Raw genomic sequence first — 15,370 nt, forward strand, 5'->3', positions numbered from 1 at the left:
TGGCCCCCCCGCCCGGTGAGTGTGGCCCTCCCCGCCCGGTGAGTCCGGCCCGTCCCCGCCCGGGCACCCGCCGTGCGTGCTGACGCTGTCTTCTCTCCCTCTCTCCCACCCCGGCGCTGCCAGGCAACATGAAGAAGCGCCTCTTGATGCCCAGTAGGGGTAAGGCCTGGAGCCGCGGGCGGGCGCTGCGCCGGCCCCGCCCGTGATGCCTGTGCTGTGCTGCTCTGTGTCCCCGCGGCGGGCGGCCCAGGGCCCATGCTTGGGGCAGTCCACGTGAGCCAGGCCACAGCCCAGTTCCCCACATTCCTCCCGACATCACTGGTCCCTTGGTGAAGACCCCCCGAGCCCAGGCATCTGGCCCTCGGCCCCCTGGCCCCGCCTCCTGTCAGTGGACTGTCCTGGCACGTGTGGCCCTGGCGCCCCTGCCTGCGCTGTCTGCCATCGCGCTGTGACTGCCCGCATGCTGCCAGCCTCAGCTCGTGGGGCCGCCCGTGCTGTGCCTGCAATCCTTCCGTGCGCCTGCCAGGCGGGACAGTGGGGAGGGTGGTCGGGGGTGTCTGTGTGGGCCGTGGGCAACTGAGCTTGTACACATGGGTGCCTTCTGTCGGAGGACTGGCTCAGGTGCTCTGTGCCGGTTGCTTGGAGCAGGGGCTGCGGGACCCCAGGCCCCTTGGGGAAGAGCAGATAGGACCAAGCCTAGCATGAGGAGGCCAGGTGTGTGGGGCCCGGGTGTGCAAGTGCTGGGCCTGCCAGTGTGGATGTGCCTGGAGCCCCTTCGCCAGGCGGCTTTCACTGACGGTGCTGGCCAGGGCAGCAGGGCCGGTTTGGCGACCTGGAGGTGGATATGGGTAGTGGCTGCCCAGCCCAGCCAACCCTGTCCCCTTGGGGCATTCTCTCGAGGCTGCTGGGTGTCCTGGCAGGCACGTCCTGTGGGGTCAGCACGCCGGCTGCAGCGCAGGGTGGGCCTGAGATCGGGTGCCGGGCCCCCCATCTCCACCTGTCTGGACACGCACCCCTGGCCTGTCCTTGCAGCTTCCTCCCGACATCCCTTGGCGGTGTCTGTGTCTCGGCCCCAGCCCCAGCCCTCCTTTCCTGGGGCACCCTCCCAGCCATCTGGTATTGGGGCTGCCCCCATTGCCTAGTCCTGGGCCCAGGGCCAGCCCACTCTGGGCTGGCTTTACTTGTCTGTTCCTAATGGCAGGGCGTCCCAGGAACAGCCCCATAAGAGCTGGTAGAAACAGGAGGGAGTCCTTGTCAGCAGGCATCTTCGAGCTTTTTGTTTTGTTTTGTAAAAAGCGGTTAACCAGCAAGTTACATAAAAGCTTATTTGTTCCCACTGAATTTTCCACACCTCACACGTGAGTCCCAGCCATGCAGTGCTTGTGAGGGAGCATCACCCCTTGCCGCCTGGCTGGGCGGGGCCCTGGGCTCAGAGGGGTCAGCCACAGAGGAAGCGCCTGTCCTGACGTGTAGCGGCCAGGACCTGGGCGCTGGAGAGGGGCCAGCTGGGTGAAGACGGCTCCCGGGGGCACTGGCGCACACGAGGTGGGGTCTCTGTCCAGCCTGGGTAGGCATGAGCTGAGCTCGAGTGAGGGCCCTGCCTGCCCACAGCACGGGGCCCCAGCGCTCTAACCCGGCCATTTGCCCGTGCAGCCTGTTGCGCTGTCCCCACCTGCGGGGCCTGCAGATGGCTGCGTGTGGCTCACTAACCTAAAGCATGTGTTTCTTCCCTCTGCTGTCCACCGCTCTGGTAGGCACTTACCTGGGTAAGTAGTTTTTGTGCTACTGGCCAGCCCTGGGCGCTGGGCCTTGGCTTGTGGCAGGTGCCCTGAGGTATGGCTGTTCCTGCTTGGGAGCGCCGCAGATCAGGCACCTGGGCCCCCACCTGACCCTGCCCGGCAGAGCTAAGCAAACTGGCAGGGAAAGGCTGACCCAGGGCTCCAGGGCCCCAGTTGGCCCCCAGGGGAGTGCCCCAAGTTAGGAGGCAACTGCAGGTGGGGAGGGGCTGGACAGGCTGCTTCTGTTCCTTAAGGGATGGGCCTCAGCTAAGCAGCGTTTCTGGAGCTGGCAGGTTGCTCCGATGCCCCTGGGCCCTGGCACCTGACTGAGTTGAGTATGACATCCTGTCCTCTCTGAGCTGGTCCTGCTGGGAGCCGAGCCATCCTGGGACCAGCTCCCACATGCACACGCCCACACCTACACACAGGGCAGTGGGGAAGGGCAGTGAGTGGGGGAGGGCAGCGGCGGTCCTGGGCCCAGCTGGGGGTGACCAGGAGCATGGACCCCGCTTCTTGGCCCAACTCCCGCAGTGCCCCTTGGGCTCCTCACCCTGCACTGTGGGAAGTCAGAGGCCTCTGGCACCCCATCCCCAAGCACATGCCAGGGTGGCTGGGGCCCAGCCAGGGCAGTGGGTGGTGACCTGTTTCTGGCCGGGGCTGGCGGCTCTCTCAGAGCCTTAGGAAAAAGCCCGGCCTCCTGGTGGGGCAGTGCCGGCCACAGCGTGGCTGCCCTGCAGAGGGGCTTGTGCCGCTGCTGGACTGACAGCCTTGCGAGGCTTTGCTTGTCTCGGCACGGCAGGCAAGTGGGTGGACAGCCCCGGCCCCTGTGCAGGGAGGTGACTGTCGGGTCCAAGGCTCCTGGCCTCCTGCCTGGAGCCCAAGCCAATGTGTCTCTTGCTGGCCAGAGAGCTGTGGGGCCACCAGGCGGCCCAGGACCCGGGGATGCGAGGCCCCACGTCCCCCAGGCCCATCCTGGGTGTGGGCTGTGGCTTGGTTGGCAGATGGCCCCGGCCCATTGTCCCAAGGTGGCTGAGGCCGTGGTGGGCGGTGGGAGTGCAGGACGCGCTCTCTCGGGGCCTCATTTCTCTCCTCCATTTCTCATCAGGTCTGGCAAACCACGGACAGGCCAGGCACATGGTAAGAGGAACAACCCATGATGGGGTACGGTGCGCTCACCCATGAGCTCTCTGGGGTGTTGGGAAGAGGCCTGGCCAGCCCTGCCAGGTGCCACGTGGAAGCTTCCAGGAGGCCTGGCAAGACCAGAGGGGCTGCAGCATGTGGGGGCCATGGCCCCTGTGCCAGGCCCAGCGGTGTGCGGCCGACCAGCCCTCAGGGCTGCCCTGGGCCAGGCTGGGGGTCCGTGTAACTCACTGGGGTGGTGGGGGGTTGGCCAGGCACAGCACCTCCCAGCGGGAGCCCTGCAGGTTGAGGTGGAGCTGGCCCTTGGCTGGCTGCCCAGGAAGTGCACCCCCTCTGCAGGGACCAAGCCGGAACCTCCTGCTCAACGGGAAGTCCTACCCCACCAAAGTGCGCCTGATCCGGGGGGGCTCCCTGCCCCCAGTCAAGCGGCGGCGGATGAACTGGATCGACGCCCCGGATGACGTGTTCTACATGGCCACAGAGGAGACCAGGTGGGGCCTTCCCAGGGCAGGCGGGAGGGCTCCGCACAGCGTCCCGGCCCTCACCACCACCTCTGCCCACAGGAAGATCCGCAAGCTGCTCTCATCCTCGGAAACCAAGCGTGCTGCCCGCCGGCCCTACAAGCCCATCGCCCTGCGCCAGAGCCAGGCCCTGCCGCCGCGGCCACCGCCACCTGCGCCCGTCAACGACGAGCCCATCGTCATCGAGGACTAGGGGCCGCCCCCACCTGCGGCCGCCCCCCGCCCCTCGCCCGCCCACACGGCCCCTTCCCAGCCAGCCCGCCGCCCGCCCCTCAGTTTGGTAGTGCCCCACCTCCCGCCCTCACCTGCAGAGAAACGCGCTCCTTGGCGGACACTGGGGGAGGAGAGGAAGAAGCGCGGCTAACTTATTCCGAGAATGCCGAGGAGTTGTCGTTTTTAGCTTTGTGTTTACTTTTTGGCTGGAGCGGAGATGAGGGGCCACCCCGTGCCCCTGTGCTGCGGGGCCTTTTGCCCGGAGGCCGGGCCCTAAGGTTTTGTTGTGTTCTGTTGAAGGTGCCATTTTAAATTTTATTTTTATTACTTTTTTTGTAGATGAACTTGAGCTCTGTAACTTACACCTGGAATGTTAGGATCGTGCGGCCGCGGCCGGCCGAGCTGCCTGGCGGGGTTGGCCCTTGTCTTTTCAAGTAATTTTCATATTAAACAAAAACAAAGAAAAAAAATCTTATAAAAAGGAAAAAAACCAACCGGTCCTTCCCTGTGTCTTTTGTTCCCAGTCCCTCTCCCTGACTCAGGCCCTGGGCCCCCCACCCCCATCGGGCGGCCCTAGGCTGTGGCTCTGCCGTGGAGCTGGAGGCCCCTGGAGGCCACCTCAGCCAGGACAGCCACCCCAGCCTCTGGGCTCTGTTGCTCTCCCACCTGCCCACAGACCTTCCCCTGCTGGGGCCTGGCGCGGTGCCCTCTGCCCTCCCCAGGGGGCAGCAAGCGGTTGCAGGGCCCAACCCCCTTCCCCAGCAGAGCTGTGCTGAAACCGTCTGTGCGTCTGTGTCTGCGGCAGCGGTGGGCCGGGGACTGCCTCCCGGCAGGCAGAGCTGGCCCTGCCGAAGACCCTGTGGCTTCCCACCAGGGCAGCCAGTGCAGCTGGGCCAGCGAGGCCTTGGAGTGCTCCAGCCAGAGGCCCAACCTCCTGGCCATGTAGAGCCTGGCCCCAGCCGCCTGAGGGTTTCTGCCCAGAGCTCTGGCCCCCAAGCAGGTGTGCAGTCTCCACAGTGAGAATCTGCTTAGATTTCTGCAAGCACATTCTCAGAAATCCTGCTTGGCCCATCCTCCGGCCGGGGACAGGACTTGCAGGCCGGGGGACAGGTACAGGCCGGGCCACCAGAAGGAGGGGTCCGGTGGATAGCCTGGCTCCAGACCACCCCCCTGGCCGTGCTACCTCAGCCGGCCAGGAGGGGTCCGCCCAGGCCTCGCTCAGGGAGAGTAGCTCCTCTGTCTCTCCCCAGAGCTGTGCCTTTGCTCCCCCAGCCCACCCAGGCGCCCTGTCATGTGGAAATCTCAGCCACGGAATTAAAATAGAAACCACTTCTGCTGTCTCCCAGGAGACAAAGATAAGGGGGCGTCCTGGCCTCCGTGGGAGCCTGTGCTGGGGCCCAGCAGTGACAGGACTAGGTGTCAGGGACTCGGCTGCAGTGCACGTCCCACCCACCCTCCCTGGGCTGTGGCGCCCCCCCACCCAACCCCAGCCCCCACCAGCCAACTCTAATCTGCAGCCAGCATCCGAGTGACCCCACAGCCTGAGGACTTGCCTGTAGTGCGTCATCAGACGGCTGGGAAATCAGGCCCCTGACCTCATGAAGGACACAGCTCCCTCTGAGGCCTTTTCCAACCCTGGGGGTCTGGAGCTCAGTGAAGACCCCAGCTCCCTTGTCTCCCTTCCCCAGGCCTCGGGCTTGCCTCCCAGTGCTGGCTGCAGGGTTCTGGCCTCAGCAGCTCTTCCACCCCCCAGGGCCTGTCCTTTTCTGGAGTCAACATGTGGGCTGTGAGGTGTCCTAGGTCCTGGGCTCTATCCCAAGGGCAGGGAGGCCCTGAGGAGATGTGGGGCCCTTTCCCACCCCAGACACCCTCCCCGGCCAGACACCCAGGCTGCAGTGCCCTCACAGGGCCAAGCTCTGGCCACCGGTGCTGGGTGGGGCCTGGGCTGCTTGTGGGTCTAAACCTGGGCTTAGAAGTGAGTGGGTACCGGCTGGGGGGAGCATTGGCCTTGGTGCCCAGGCCATGAAGGGGTCTCCCAGCTTTGCTATGTCCTCGTTAGGCCCTTCCCTGCTGATGAGACAGCAGCCTGCTTTCTGCACCAGCAACCCCACAGGGGCCGCGGCTCCCCAGGGCCAGGGGCATCTCAGGGTGGCAAGGCCATCATGCTGTCATGCCTGGAGACCTGTCCTGCCAGCTCCGCTCCACCCTGCTAGGGTCCTCTGTCCACCACTCAGCCCAGCCTGGCTTCCCTGCAGTGGAGCTGAGTAGCAGGGGCCTGCTATCTGCCAGTGTCACAGGATGGCGGAAGGGACCAGACCACTGCAGCCCAGGGGTGTGACCCAGCCCCATGCCCAGCCATCAGCCCTGCCAGCTCCCTTCACACCCGCCGTGTCCTGTGCCCCCCTCTCCACTCGGGCCCGTCCCACTGTGTCACTGCCCCTGCCTGTGACCCACCGCAGCCTCAGAGGTGGAGACCAAGGCCACTGCTCTGCACCCATTGATCCTGACCCCTGCCTGCCAGGCCCAGAATAGCCCCGTCGCATTAGGGAGCTTCTGGCCGCTGCCCAGGGACTGCGGCTGGGGTGAGGGCAGTGCAGCAGCTGGCACACTCCTTGTCCCACCCCACCCTCCGTGTGTCTCCAGGGCACCTGGCCAGTGCCGAATGCCATTCCTTTGCTGCCACCCTGGGAGGGGCCTGCCTCTACCCCCATCCACTCTTCTGGCAGGGCTGGGGACCTTGGGGCAGGTGGTCTCCCTCCAGAAGAGCCCTGTGTTCAGCCAGCCCTGTCCTCCAGAGCAAGCCCCACAGGTAGCAAGCCCCACAGGTAGCAAAGTCAGGGAGGGTAATGGCTTAGCCCCAGGCTCCCAAGCTGGGCAGAACAGGGCAGGGAGCTGGAGAGGGTTTGGCAGTGGGCCCATGAATCCAGCCTGGGCAAGGCCCTGCTGTGAGGGACCCCTAGGGACCCCTGGGCCTGCCAGGGAGGAAGGGCTGCCCAGAAAAGGTACTGACTGATGCCTCCTCACCATCTTCTGCCTTGGCTGGCACAGGTCCCAAGTGCAGAGGGGGAGCTGGTCAGGCTGGTCAGTCGGGCGGGGGGGCGGGGGGCATGTTTCTGGCCTGCTGTCACCATGGAAATGGCAGTGGCTGCAGGGTGTGTGTGCAAGGGAGGAGGGTGCTGCCACAGAGAGCCCAGCCAGGACCACCATGAAAGCCAGGAGCACCGAGGGCCTCTGGTTGGCTCACAAACATGCCTGGTGCACCAGGCAGAGGGAACAGGTAGGTCTCCGTGTCCAGCCCACAGCCTCCAAGACACAGGGGGAAGGGTGTCCAGAGTCAGCTGCCCCCATAGGGCCTGATCACTGGGCTTCTGGGATCTGCCTGTCTCCCAGGCCGACGCTCAGCTGGGGCCAGAAGGCTCAGAGAAGGGCCCATGGGGACAGAGCACCAGGAAGCCCGTGGGTGCGGAGGTTCCCCACCTGGGGCCAGGCTCTACGGGGCTCTAGGGCGGAGGCACTGTGGTGAGGCGTGGTCAGGCACGCCCTGGTTGGGAGGAGGCCAGAGTGGGGGTGTGGGGGTGCGGTGACTGGCATGACCCCTCAATCTCCCGCCTGACCCCTCGAGGTCAGGCCCTGGGCCCCCAGGCACGCAGCTGGTCCTGGGCGGTGCGGGAGAAGGGACTGGAGTGTCAGCCCCAGCCCGGGGCACAGAGGGCACGCCCACTCCTTCCCCTCCTTCCCTTCCTAACTCCTCACCGCCTCCCCGGCCGCCCCCTGGGTGGAAGTGCTTGGGGTGGACGCCTTAAGCGCGGATCCCTCGGCGCTGGTGCCCGCCGCCCCTTCCCTGCCTGGGAGGCAGACGCAGACCTCCCCACACCCCCTACCAGCAGCTTCTCGAGCTGTTTCTGGAGGTGGCGGCGCCTTCCTTCCTGAGCCCTGCCCTCCACCCAAGGAGCCTTCAGCACCACAGACAGTGTTGGGGCGGGGCGCGGGCGGGGGCGGAGCGGGACATGGAGACCCGGACAGGGCTGGGGGCCGTGCCCGCCGGGAATCTGACTCCGCTCCCGCGGCGCGGCTGTTGCTATGGAAACCGAGCAACAAAGGGAAGCGGGACAGGCGCCGCGCGCGGCGGGGTGGGGGTGGGGTTCTCCCGGAGCCTGCGACCCCTTCCCGCGGCGGAGCGCAGCCTGGGCGCCCAGGGCCGGGAGTGTTGGACCCCTAGGCCCAAGTCACTAGGGCTCCCCGAGAGCCGAGGGCCAGGCTCCCCGCACCCTGCCCGCCGCCCCGGGGACGGCCCGGCCAGGCGGCCCCGACGTCGCCATGGAAACAGCCGGGGCGCGGGCGGCGCCGCGGTCGCCCGGGCGGGCCCCTGTAGACGCCACCTCCGGCGCGAGGGGCCCGGGGGCGCCAGGCCTGGCCCGGCTGCCCCGCACCCGCCACCCCCGGCAGGTGCGCCCCGCCCCCGCGGCGCCCCCAGGCGGCCCCCAGCCCGGGGGACGGGTTATCGAGGCCCCGCCCCGGCCGCGGAGCCAATGGGCGCGCGGACAGCCGGGCAGGCGGGGCTGGGCGCGGGCGGCGGCGGCCCGGAGGAGAACGGGCGGAGGGCGCGGGCCGACCGGGCGCACCGACCATGGCCTCCAAATGCCCCAAGTGCGACAAGACCGTGTACTTCGGTGAGTGCGTGCCCGCTCCCGGCCCGCTCGGTGCATCCCGCCGCCCTTCGCGGCCAGTCCCGCGCCGCAGAGCCGCGGCGTAACTCGGGGTGCGCCCGGCCCCGGCCCCGGACCGAGGATGCGCGTCCCGGAGGCTGGCTGGCCGCGCTGCCCAAGCGGCTAAAGCCAAAGGGTGGGGCTGCGCGAAAGCGGGGGCGGTCACGCCCGAACCCCGAAGCGGCTTGTGGGGGCGGGGCAGGGACCACCCGGGCGGGGCTTGTGGTGCCCCGGGATGAGGCCAGTGTTTGGGGGAGCGCTCGGGGATCCGCGGACGCATCCCGGTTCCTCGGACGGCGCCGGGCGGGGCGGGGCAGGGCGTGGCTGTACGCCCCGGGTGCGTCCCGCGCGCTCCCGTGGGCCTGGGCCCTTTCTCCTGGACCCCCTACACCCGCTTCCCCCGGGAACAAGTGGCCGGGAACAGTGACCCCCAGCTCCCACTCCGGGCTCCGCTGAGCTGGGCTGGGCCAGGTTTGGACTCTGTCGGGATTCAGTCCAAGCGGGGGCGACCTTGGCCTCTGCCTCCTGCTTGTCCCGACGCATTCCCTTGGCGCCAGTTCCCCCAGGAGTTTCACACGGGGGTAGGGTGGGGGCGGGTGTGACACGCGAGTTCCCGCGAACGTGAGAGGGACCTTGTGCTCAAGCAGCCCAGGTGTCCAGGATCCCTGCCTCCTCAAGGTCAGAACAGCCCTGGACAGGATGCAGGTGGTGGCGGGAAGAGGGATGTCTCGCAAGGCGGCCCTCGGTCTAGCCCCTCCGGCAGGCGCGCTCCCCCCGTCTGGGCTTACTCACTCTCTGGGCCTGGGTGCGCCCTTCCTACCCCCTTCCTCCTGGCTGATTCGCTGCCCAGCTTTCTCCAGGGTGGTAAGGTCCCTGCCCACCTACCCACCAGCTGCTGCACGAAGGGGGGCAGACTTAGTGAAGCAGAGAGGAGGGCCGGGACCAACAGGGCGCCTGCCCTGGTCGCCCCATACCCAGAATGCGGCCAGGCTGCAGGGAAGGCCGCCACTGGGCTTCCCCGGCTCACAGGCTGGAGGGGGTTGAGGGGAGGTTGTATTTTGCCCGTCCCAGAGGGGAGGGACCGGATTTGGCCTGGAGTGCTTCTGGCGTGGCTGGGAGCCGAGGGGCTTCCGGCTGCCTCTCCTGGAGCCCGCTCAGCCCTCAGTCTCTGTCCCAGCGAGGGCTGTCTCTGTAAGGCTTAGGGTGGGAGACGGTCCCCAGGGCCCTTCTGCAGTCCAACTGCCCATGACTTTACCCCAGGCCGGGCCAGGCCAGCCTGGGGCTCTCCAGGGTCTCGGCCAACAGTCCTGTGGACAGCCCGGAAAGGCCTGCCTGCCTGGCCCGCCCAGCCTCTCAGCGGAAAACAAAGGCGCTTCAGACCCGGCTGGCTTCTGTCCTGCCTGGGAGGCACTGTGAGGGCGAGGGTCCAGAATCCTGCCCACCCTCACACCAGGCTGCCCCCGCAGCTCATACCTGAGTAGAACCCAGGCTGGGATGTCGGAGCACATTGAGGAGGCCACCCCAGAGCCCATGCAGCCAGGGTGGGCAGCTGGTTTTCTTCTGAGCCATTAGACCCAATCGATTCTGTGTTCCCAACTCGGACCCGTAATGTGTGGCCATTGACCCACCCAGTGGGTCTGAGGGCCAGTTCCCTGCCCCCACTTGGCCCACGTCCCAGAGCTGGCCAGAGCACAGTGCTGGCAGCCCTGGGCTGCAGCTGCCACGGCCGATAGCCACCGAGACTTCCTTGCTGCTGCTGGGACACGCCTGCCCACCGTGCAGCCAGCCCCTGCCTGCCCTGGTGTGTCCCAGCTTCCTTGAGTGGAGTGGTTCTGGTCAGAGGGCTCTAAGCTGGTGCAGCCTTGTGGTTGGGCTGGTGTCCTGGAGGCTGGCCCTGGCCATGCCCAGAGGGTTGTACCAGGGCCACGGAGAGCCAGTATTCACAGCCCTCTACCTAGTAGGCCACCTGGGGGATCCCATCTCACTGCCAGGAGCAGCACCCTTGGGCCTCTCAGAGTGGGCTTCGCCCTAGCCAGATGCCCCTCCCCGATATCTGCCAGACAAAGGGGGCTGGGCCACTTGCTGAGAAAGGGAGCTGGGAGAGCCACTGGTCCTCGGCCACCTGAGGGGCTTGGCCAGATTCTGCCGGGCAGGGTGGGCCCAGCCTGCATGCTCCCTCCCCCCAGGGCCTGCAGCTTGTCCCCTTCCCTTCAGAATTCCGGCTCTGCTGGGCCCTTCCTGCCCCTCCCCACCTCTTCCTGCCTGGCTCCCTAGGGAGGCCCCTGCTTCCATCCACTGGGAAGCAGTCCAGTAGCCCCAGTGTGGGGGTGGGAGGCAGTGGCAGAGGGTCCCGGACCCTCAGCAGCTGCCCTCAGATCTTCCATGCCAGTGGCAGCCAGGGGCATTACGGCGGGGGGAGAGCTCAGGGTTTAGGACGAGGAATCCACAGACAGATGAGGGTCCCGCCTGGAGGACCCACGGGGACGGGGCCTGGCCTTCCCATGAGGGAGCTGGAGGTTCTGGGGCTGCACCTTTGACTCAGCAGCGGGGTGCTGCCAGCCCCATCAGGGCCCAGTTGGTGGGGATCAGGGGCGTGTCAGTGCGAGGCAGGTGTGAGAGGGAGAGCAGCATGTGTTGAAGCAGGTGCACTGCAGAGGCAGGTGTGTGAGTGTAAGAGAAGTGTTTGAGGGAATGACAGGTGGGGGAGATGCATATGTGTGGGGGGAGGCAGGTGTGTGGGGGGAAGCGGGTGTGTGTCTGAGGAAGCGGGTGTGTGTGGGGGGAAGCGGGTGTGTGGAGGCGGGCGTGTGGGGGAGGCGGGTGTGTGTGTGAGAGGAAGGTGTGTGGGAGGAGGCAGATTTGTGGGGGGAGGCGGGCGTGTGGGGGAGGCGGGTGTGAGGCGGGTGTCCGGGAGGCAGGTGTTGGAGCGCGGGCAGGTGTTGGAGCGCGGGCAGGTGTTGGAGCGCGGGCAGGTGTTGGAGCGCGGGCAGGTGTTGGAGCGCGGGCAGGCTCGAGCACAGGCCCCTTCACCGCAGGCACTGAGGGGACTAACAGGGCAGCCCCGGGCCCCTTCTCAAAGGCGGCTCTAGCGGGGTTCCAGGGCTGGGGGCGCTGAGACCCAGAGGGAGAACAGGGCCTGGGGGCGACGGGCTCCTCCGGGTCTCAGAAGGAGGGGCAGGGCCCGCCAGGTGGAAGGAAGGCGCCTGGGAGACCTCCTGAAAGTGGGGACCCCCGGAGCGCGTGGGGGTGGTGGCTGCCAGGTGGGGGCGGAGGGGGTGCGGGGCGCGCCCCGGCCCTGACCCCCCTGCCGCCCCTCCCGCTCAGCCGAGAAGGTGAGCTCCCTGGGGAAGGACTGGCACAAGTTCTGCCTCAAGTGCGAGCGCTGCAGCAAGACGCTGACGCCCGGGGGCCACGCCGAGGTGAGCCCCACTGCGCGGCGCGGGCGGGGGCGGGGGTCGCGACTCCCGCCACCCTCAGGCAGGGTCCTGACCCGCGCCCCTCTGCGCAGCATGACGGGAAGCCGTTCTGCCACAAGCCGTGCTACGCCACCCTGTTCGGACCCAAAGGTGAGCTCCGGCTGCCCTCGGCCTGCCCTGGGACCTGCTGGGAGGGGCGTGGCGCTGGCGCTGGGGAGGGCTGGGGGTCCCGGCCGCCGTGGATCCCCGCCCAGAGTCCCTGCCACCCTGGAAAGCCTAGTGCCCCCCAGTCCCCAGCGGGCCGTTTTCTGAGATGCCCGGTGGCCGCGGCCCCCACCCCACGTACCCCCGCCCCACGTACCCCCACCCGCAGGCGTGAACATCGGGGGCGCGGGCTCCTACATCTACGAGAAGCCCCTGGCGGAGGGGCCGCAGGTCACCGGCCCCATCGAGGTCCCCGCGGCCCGAGCAGAGGAGCGGAAGGCGAGCGGCCCCCCGAAGGGGCCCAGCAGAGGTGGGCTGGGCGCGGGCTGGGGCTGGGGGTTGTGGGCACGCGCGGGCTGGGGCTGGGGGTTGTGGGCACCCCCGGCCCCGCCCCGCCCTGACTCGTGCGCCCCACAGCCTCCAGTGTCACCACTTTCACCGGGGAGCCCAACACGTGCCCGCGCTGCAGCAAGAAGGTGTACTTCGGTGAGTGCGCGCCCGGGCCCCGGACCCCCGCCCCCGCCCCCGCCCCGGGGCTCGGCCTCACTCCTCCCCCTTTCCAGCTGAGAAGGTGACGTCTCTGGGCAAGGATTGGCACCGGCCCTGCCTGCGCTGCGAGCGCTGCGGGAAGACACTGACCCCCGGCGGGCACGCGGAGGTGAGGGGAGTGCAACGGGGCTTGGGGGCCGGGCAGGGGCGCGGGGTCGGGGGGATGAGGGTGAGAGGCGCGCCTAGAGGGGATGGGGGGTGGTGCTTCTGGGAGCTGCGCTGCCCTCTCCCCCACGGCGAGCCGGCCTGCACGTTCTGGAAGCCTCCAGGTGATGGGTCGGGGGAGTCTGTGGACTCCTCCCTCAGCACCCACCTTCTGCCCCAGCACGACGGCCAGCCCTACTGCCACAAGCCCTGCTATGGAATCCTCTTCGGACCCAAGGGTGAGTGTAGCCAGGGTGGTCCACGATGTCTTCCCTGCCCTCCCCTTCCCTCCACTGTTCCCCCGACCCACCCCAGCGGCCTCCCTCCACAGGAGTGAACACCGGTGCGGTGGGCAGCTACATCTATGACCGGGACCCCGAAGGCAAGGTCCAGCCCTAGGCTACAGCGGCTCTCATGATGTGGGCTCACCTGCGCCCCAGACCCTGCAGGGGCCCCCCTGCTTGGCTCTGCTGGGAGAGTGCTCAGCCGCCCAGTCCTGCCTGCAAGCCCAGGGCGAGTATTGGAGGAGGGGCAGCCACGGGCAGAGCACCATGCCCATCCCCGAGTCTCTGGTGTGTCTGCCCCCTCTGGCATCCTCTGGGCGTCCCATGATCCCTTCTGTGTCTGCGTGTCCGAATCCCCGTGTGACCCTGTCCCAGCATTTTCCCGCCGACCCTGCGTGTCCCCGTGGCGCTGTCCGCTCTCCCTCTCCTGCTGCCCACCCACCTGCCAGTGTTATTTATGCTCCCTTCGTGGGTGATGGCCACGCCCTCACCATGTCCCTGGCAGAGGGCTTCCCTCCGGGATCCCCTGCCTGGTGCCCACACTGCCTCGCAAGCGCTCGCCACCCTCACGTGGCTCACCTGCTGTTGAGCCTTGTGCTGTCAATAAACGGTTTGAGGATTGCAGGATTGTCTCTGCTTGTGGGATGGATGCAAATCCCAGACCAGGGTCCCTTTCTCCGGTCCATGCGTGCTCCCAGCCAACACCCCTGGGCCTGGCTGCTAGTGGGGGTGGGCTCTTCTCCTGGGGGTCATAGTGGGAGGTGGGGCCCTGGGATGTTTCTGAGCAGGAGGGAGGGATGGGGGCGGGGAGCGTGGTCTCCGGTTTGGGTGGTGGTGCCCACCCAGATGGGGAGGCAGTAAGAACGCCAGGCTGTGGGGAGGTAAGGAAGGTGGGAGGCATTCCGGGGCCAGGGTCCTGGCCAGGGTCAGGTGAGGGTGGGGTCCATGGAGGACAGAGCCTTGGAGAAAAGTTGAACCTAGAACCCTGAAAATACCAACAGCAGGCCTGAGAACCCGGAGCTGCCTGGGTGTGTGGACCCTGGCAAGCGCAGGAGGGGTCCGCCCTGAGAGCAGAGTGTGGCTGAGGAGGGAAGGGGGCCGGGGACCAGAGGAGGGGTCCTGGGCAGAGAATGGGGAAGCCGGCGAAGGTCGGGTGGGACAGAGGTCTCTGGCAGCCCCAGACTGGACTGGGATGCGCAGGAGGGTTTGGGGGCTCTGGTCAGAGCAAGGACTGGAGAGGCTCAGCGTGGCTGTTTCCAGCTTTTGTCCATAGGGTGATGGACAGGCTTTTGTGGACAGGCCTGCCTTGGGTGTGGCCCAGGGACAGAATCCCTGCCCAAGTGTTCTGGTGAAGGTTTTAGTGATGACCGACTCGCCCCTGGCGTCTTCATGGTCCAGGCTCTGCCCTTTCAGCCAGGGGCGCTGGCGGCTCCAAGGAGCTCTCCCCTCCCCCGCGCCCCGCCTTTGCTGTGCGCCACTCCTCGGGTGCCCACTAGAGGGCGCACTGTCCCATTCTGGCAGCACAGAGCAGAAACGTGGAGACCTTCCCCAGTGGCTGAGCCCTGTCCTGGCGCCATCTGGACTTCCCACCTTGGTTTATGCTCCTCTGCTCCTGGCACCACACCGAAGTTGCCTTGGCCCTTCCTTCAGTGAGGGGCACTCAGACCTGGCCACCTCCAGGCCCCTGTCCCCAGTGCTACAGGGTGGCCGGGGCTTTACGCCTCTTCCCTGCTCCCAGCCGTTGGCACAGCTCCCTGCCTGGCCACCCTCCAGCCCATGGGCTCAGACGGAGCTGAGCCTGGATGCTGAGCCCATTGTCCCGAGAGCAGCCATCCATGTCCTGGCGGGGCCTGGGCTGGCTCCGGGGTCCAGCCGTACCACAGCTGCCCTCCAGCCAGGCACCCAGTGCGGTCTCCTCCCACCTGGAATTCAGCCAAAACCCCCGGGGCCTGACGTTGCGGAAGGGACGGCCAGTCCCCAACCCCAGGCAGAGGGGAGGATCAGGCAGGTTCCAGACCCCTGCTCACAGGAGAGGCTGGGATGGTTCCCCTTCTCATCCCCTCCTGCCAGGCCCAGGCTTCCTTGTGTGTGTTGGGGGGTTGTTTCGGGAGAACTGAGAATTTCCGGAGTGCCCGTCTCCGCCCTTGCTGCGGGCTCCCAGGGTTGCATGGGAAATTCCTGCTTTCAGCTTGGCGGGGCGGGGGGCGGGGGGGGGACTGGAGGGCTCAGCTGGACCCCCCTCCCTTGGGAGCCTCCAGTGGAAACTATGTCGTGAGGAGAGTGGTGGGTGGTGTGCCCTTCTCTAAAACCTGGGCGGCGGTGGGGGATTTGTGTGCCAGAAGACCTTCCAGGGTCGGTTGCGGGGATGATGTGGGTAAGGGGTCTCCTCCAGAGATCAGCCCCTGACCCCGCCAG

The 15,370-nt window shown here is 67.3% G+C and overlaps 2 protein-coding genes across 27 annotated transcripts in view, besides 10 other annotated features; both read left to right on the forward strand.

The window, feature by feature from the left end:
* Positions 1–4,146, forward strand: part of MTA1 (metastasis associated 1) — a 50,903-nt gene extending 46,757 nt beyond the window's left edge. For 7 of the 19 annotated variants that reach the window (NM_004689.4, NM_001203258.2, NM_001411062.1 and 4 more), the window contains 4 exons: positions 124–159; positions 2,884–2,915; positions 3,258–3,409; positions 3,482–4,146. In NM_004689.4, coding sequence (NP_004680.2) covers positions 124–159; positions 2,884–2,915; positions 3,258–3,409; positions 3,482–3,632 — 371 coding nt within the window. In that variant the 3' untranslated portion in view covers positions 3,633–4,146. Of the gene's footprint in view, positions 1–123; positions 160–1,754; positions 1,767–2,883; positions 2,916–3,257; positions 3,410–3,481 lie in introns of all 19 variants that reach the window. The other 12 variants (XM_047431904.1, XM_047431906.1, XM_011537305.1 and 9 more) reach the window with 2 other exon arrangements.
* Positions 4,261–5,124: an enhancer, noted in NCBI's record as "H3K27ac-H3K4me1 hESC enhancer chr14:105937181-105938044 (GRCh37/hg19 assembly coordinates)". NCBI's record gives its function as "activates a minimal SCP1, AML or CMV promoter by ChIP-STARR-seq in naive H9 embryonic stem cells {active_cell/tissue: H9 hESC(naive)}" and the evidence as "EXISTENCE:reporter gene assay evidence [ECO:0000049][PMID:30033119]".
* CRIP2 (cysteine rich protein 2) lies at positions 6,362–13,587 on the forward strand. Of its 8 annotated transcripts, none has more exons than NR_073082.2 (8): positions 6,362–6,461; positions 11,683–11,777; positions 11,867–11,924; positions 12,148–12,288; positions 12,396–12,464; positions 12,542–12,636; positions 12,853–12,910; positions 13,003–13,579. NR_073082.2 is itself a non-coding variant. In NM_001270837.2 (8 exons), the coding sequence occupies exons 1-8, from the start codon at positions 6,665–6,667 to the stop codon at positions 13,068–13,070; spliced, it is 849 nt and encodes a 282-aa protein (NP_001257766.1). In that variant the 5' UTR covers positions 6,362–6,664; the 3' UTR covers positions 13,071–13,579. The 8 variants fall into 8 exon arrangements, 3 of the variants coding, with proteins under 3 accessions (NP_001257766.1, NP_001303.1, NP_001257770.1); NM_001270837.2 differs by having other exon boundaries at positions 6,362–6,929; NM_001312.4 differs by lacking the exon at positions 6,362–6,461 and adding an exon at positions 8,238–8,322.
* Positions 6,680–7,212: an enhancer, noted in NCBI's record as "H3K27ac-H3K4me1 hESC enhancer chr14:105939600-105940132 (GRCh37/hg19 assembly coordinates)". NCBI's record gives its function as "activates a minimal SCP1, AML or CMV promoter by ChIP-STARR-seq in naive H9 embryonic stem cells {active_cell/tissue: H9 hESC(naive)}" and the evidence as "EXISTENCE:reporter gene assay evidence [ECO:0000049][PMID:30033119]".
* Positions 7,241–7,290: a silencer, noted in NCBI's record as "silent region_6239". NCBI's record gives its function as "represses an Ori minimal core promoter by ATAC-STARR-seq in GM12878 lymphoblastoid cells {active_cell/tissue: GM12878}" and the evidence as "EXISTENCE:reporter gene assay evidence [ECO:0000049][PMID:35858748]".
* Positions 7,301–7,390: a silencer, noted in NCBI's record as "silent region_6240". NCBI's record gives its function as "represses an Ori minimal core promoter by ATAC-STARR-seq in GM12878 lymphoblastoid cells {active_cell/tissue: GM12878}" and the evidence as "EXISTENCE:reporter gene assay evidence [ECO:0000049][PMID:35858748]".
* Positions 7,481–7,630: a silencer, noted in NCBI's record as "silent region_6241". NCBI's record gives its function as "represses an Ori minimal core promoter by ATAC-STARR-seq in GM12878 lymphoblastoid cells {active_cell/tissue: GM12878}" and the evidence as "EXISTENCE:reporter gene assay evidence [ECO:0000049][PMID:35858748]".
* Positions 7,901–7,970: a silencer, noted in NCBI's record as "silent region_6242". NCBI's record gives its function as "represses an Ori minimal core promoter by ATAC-STARR-seq in GM12878 lymphoblastoid cells {active_cell/tissue: GM12878}" and the evidence as "EXISTENCE:reporter gene assay evidence [ECO:0000049][PMID:35858748]".
* Positions 8,151–8,260: a silencer, noted in NCBI's record as "silent region_6243". NCBI's record gives its function as "represses an Ori minimal core promoter by ATAC-STARR-seq in GM12878 lymphoblastoid cells {active_cell/tissue: GM12878}" and the evidence as "EXISTENCE:reporter gene assay evidence [ECO:0000049][PMID:35858748]".
* Positions 14,234–14,955: an enhancer, noted in NCBI's record as "H3K27ac-H3K4me1 hESC enhancer chr14:105947154-105947875 (GRCh37/hg19 assembly coordinates)". NCBI's record gives its function as "activates a minimal SCP1, AML or CMV promoter by ChIP-STARR-seq in naive H9 embryonic stem cells {active_cell/tissue: H9 hESC(naive)}" and the evidence as "EXISTENCE:reporter gene assay evidence [ECO:0000049][PMID:30033119]".
* Positions 14,344–14,493: a silencer, noted in NCBI's record as "silent region_6244". NCBI's record gives its function as "represses an Ori minimal core promoter by ATAC-STARR-seq in GM12878 lymphoblastoid cells {active_cell/tissue: GM12878}" and the evidence as "EXISTENCE:reporter gene assay evidence [ECO:0000049][PMID:35858748]".
* Positions 14,624–14,733: an enhancer, noted in NCBI's record as "active region_9148". NCBI's record gives its function as "activates an Ori minimal core promoter by ATAC-STARR-seq in GM12878 lymphoblastoid cells {active_cell/tissue: GM12878}" and the evidence as "EXISTENCE:reporter gene assay evidence [ECO:0000049][PMID:35858748]".

The sequence above is a fragment of the Homo sapiens genome, chromosome 14 (genome assembly GCF_000001405.40).
Source record: "Homo sapiens chromosome 14, GRCh38.p14 Primary Assembly".
Classification (NCBI taxonomy): domain Eukaryota; kingdom Metazoa; phylum Chordata; class Mammalia; order Primates; family Hominidae; genus Homo; species Homo sapiens.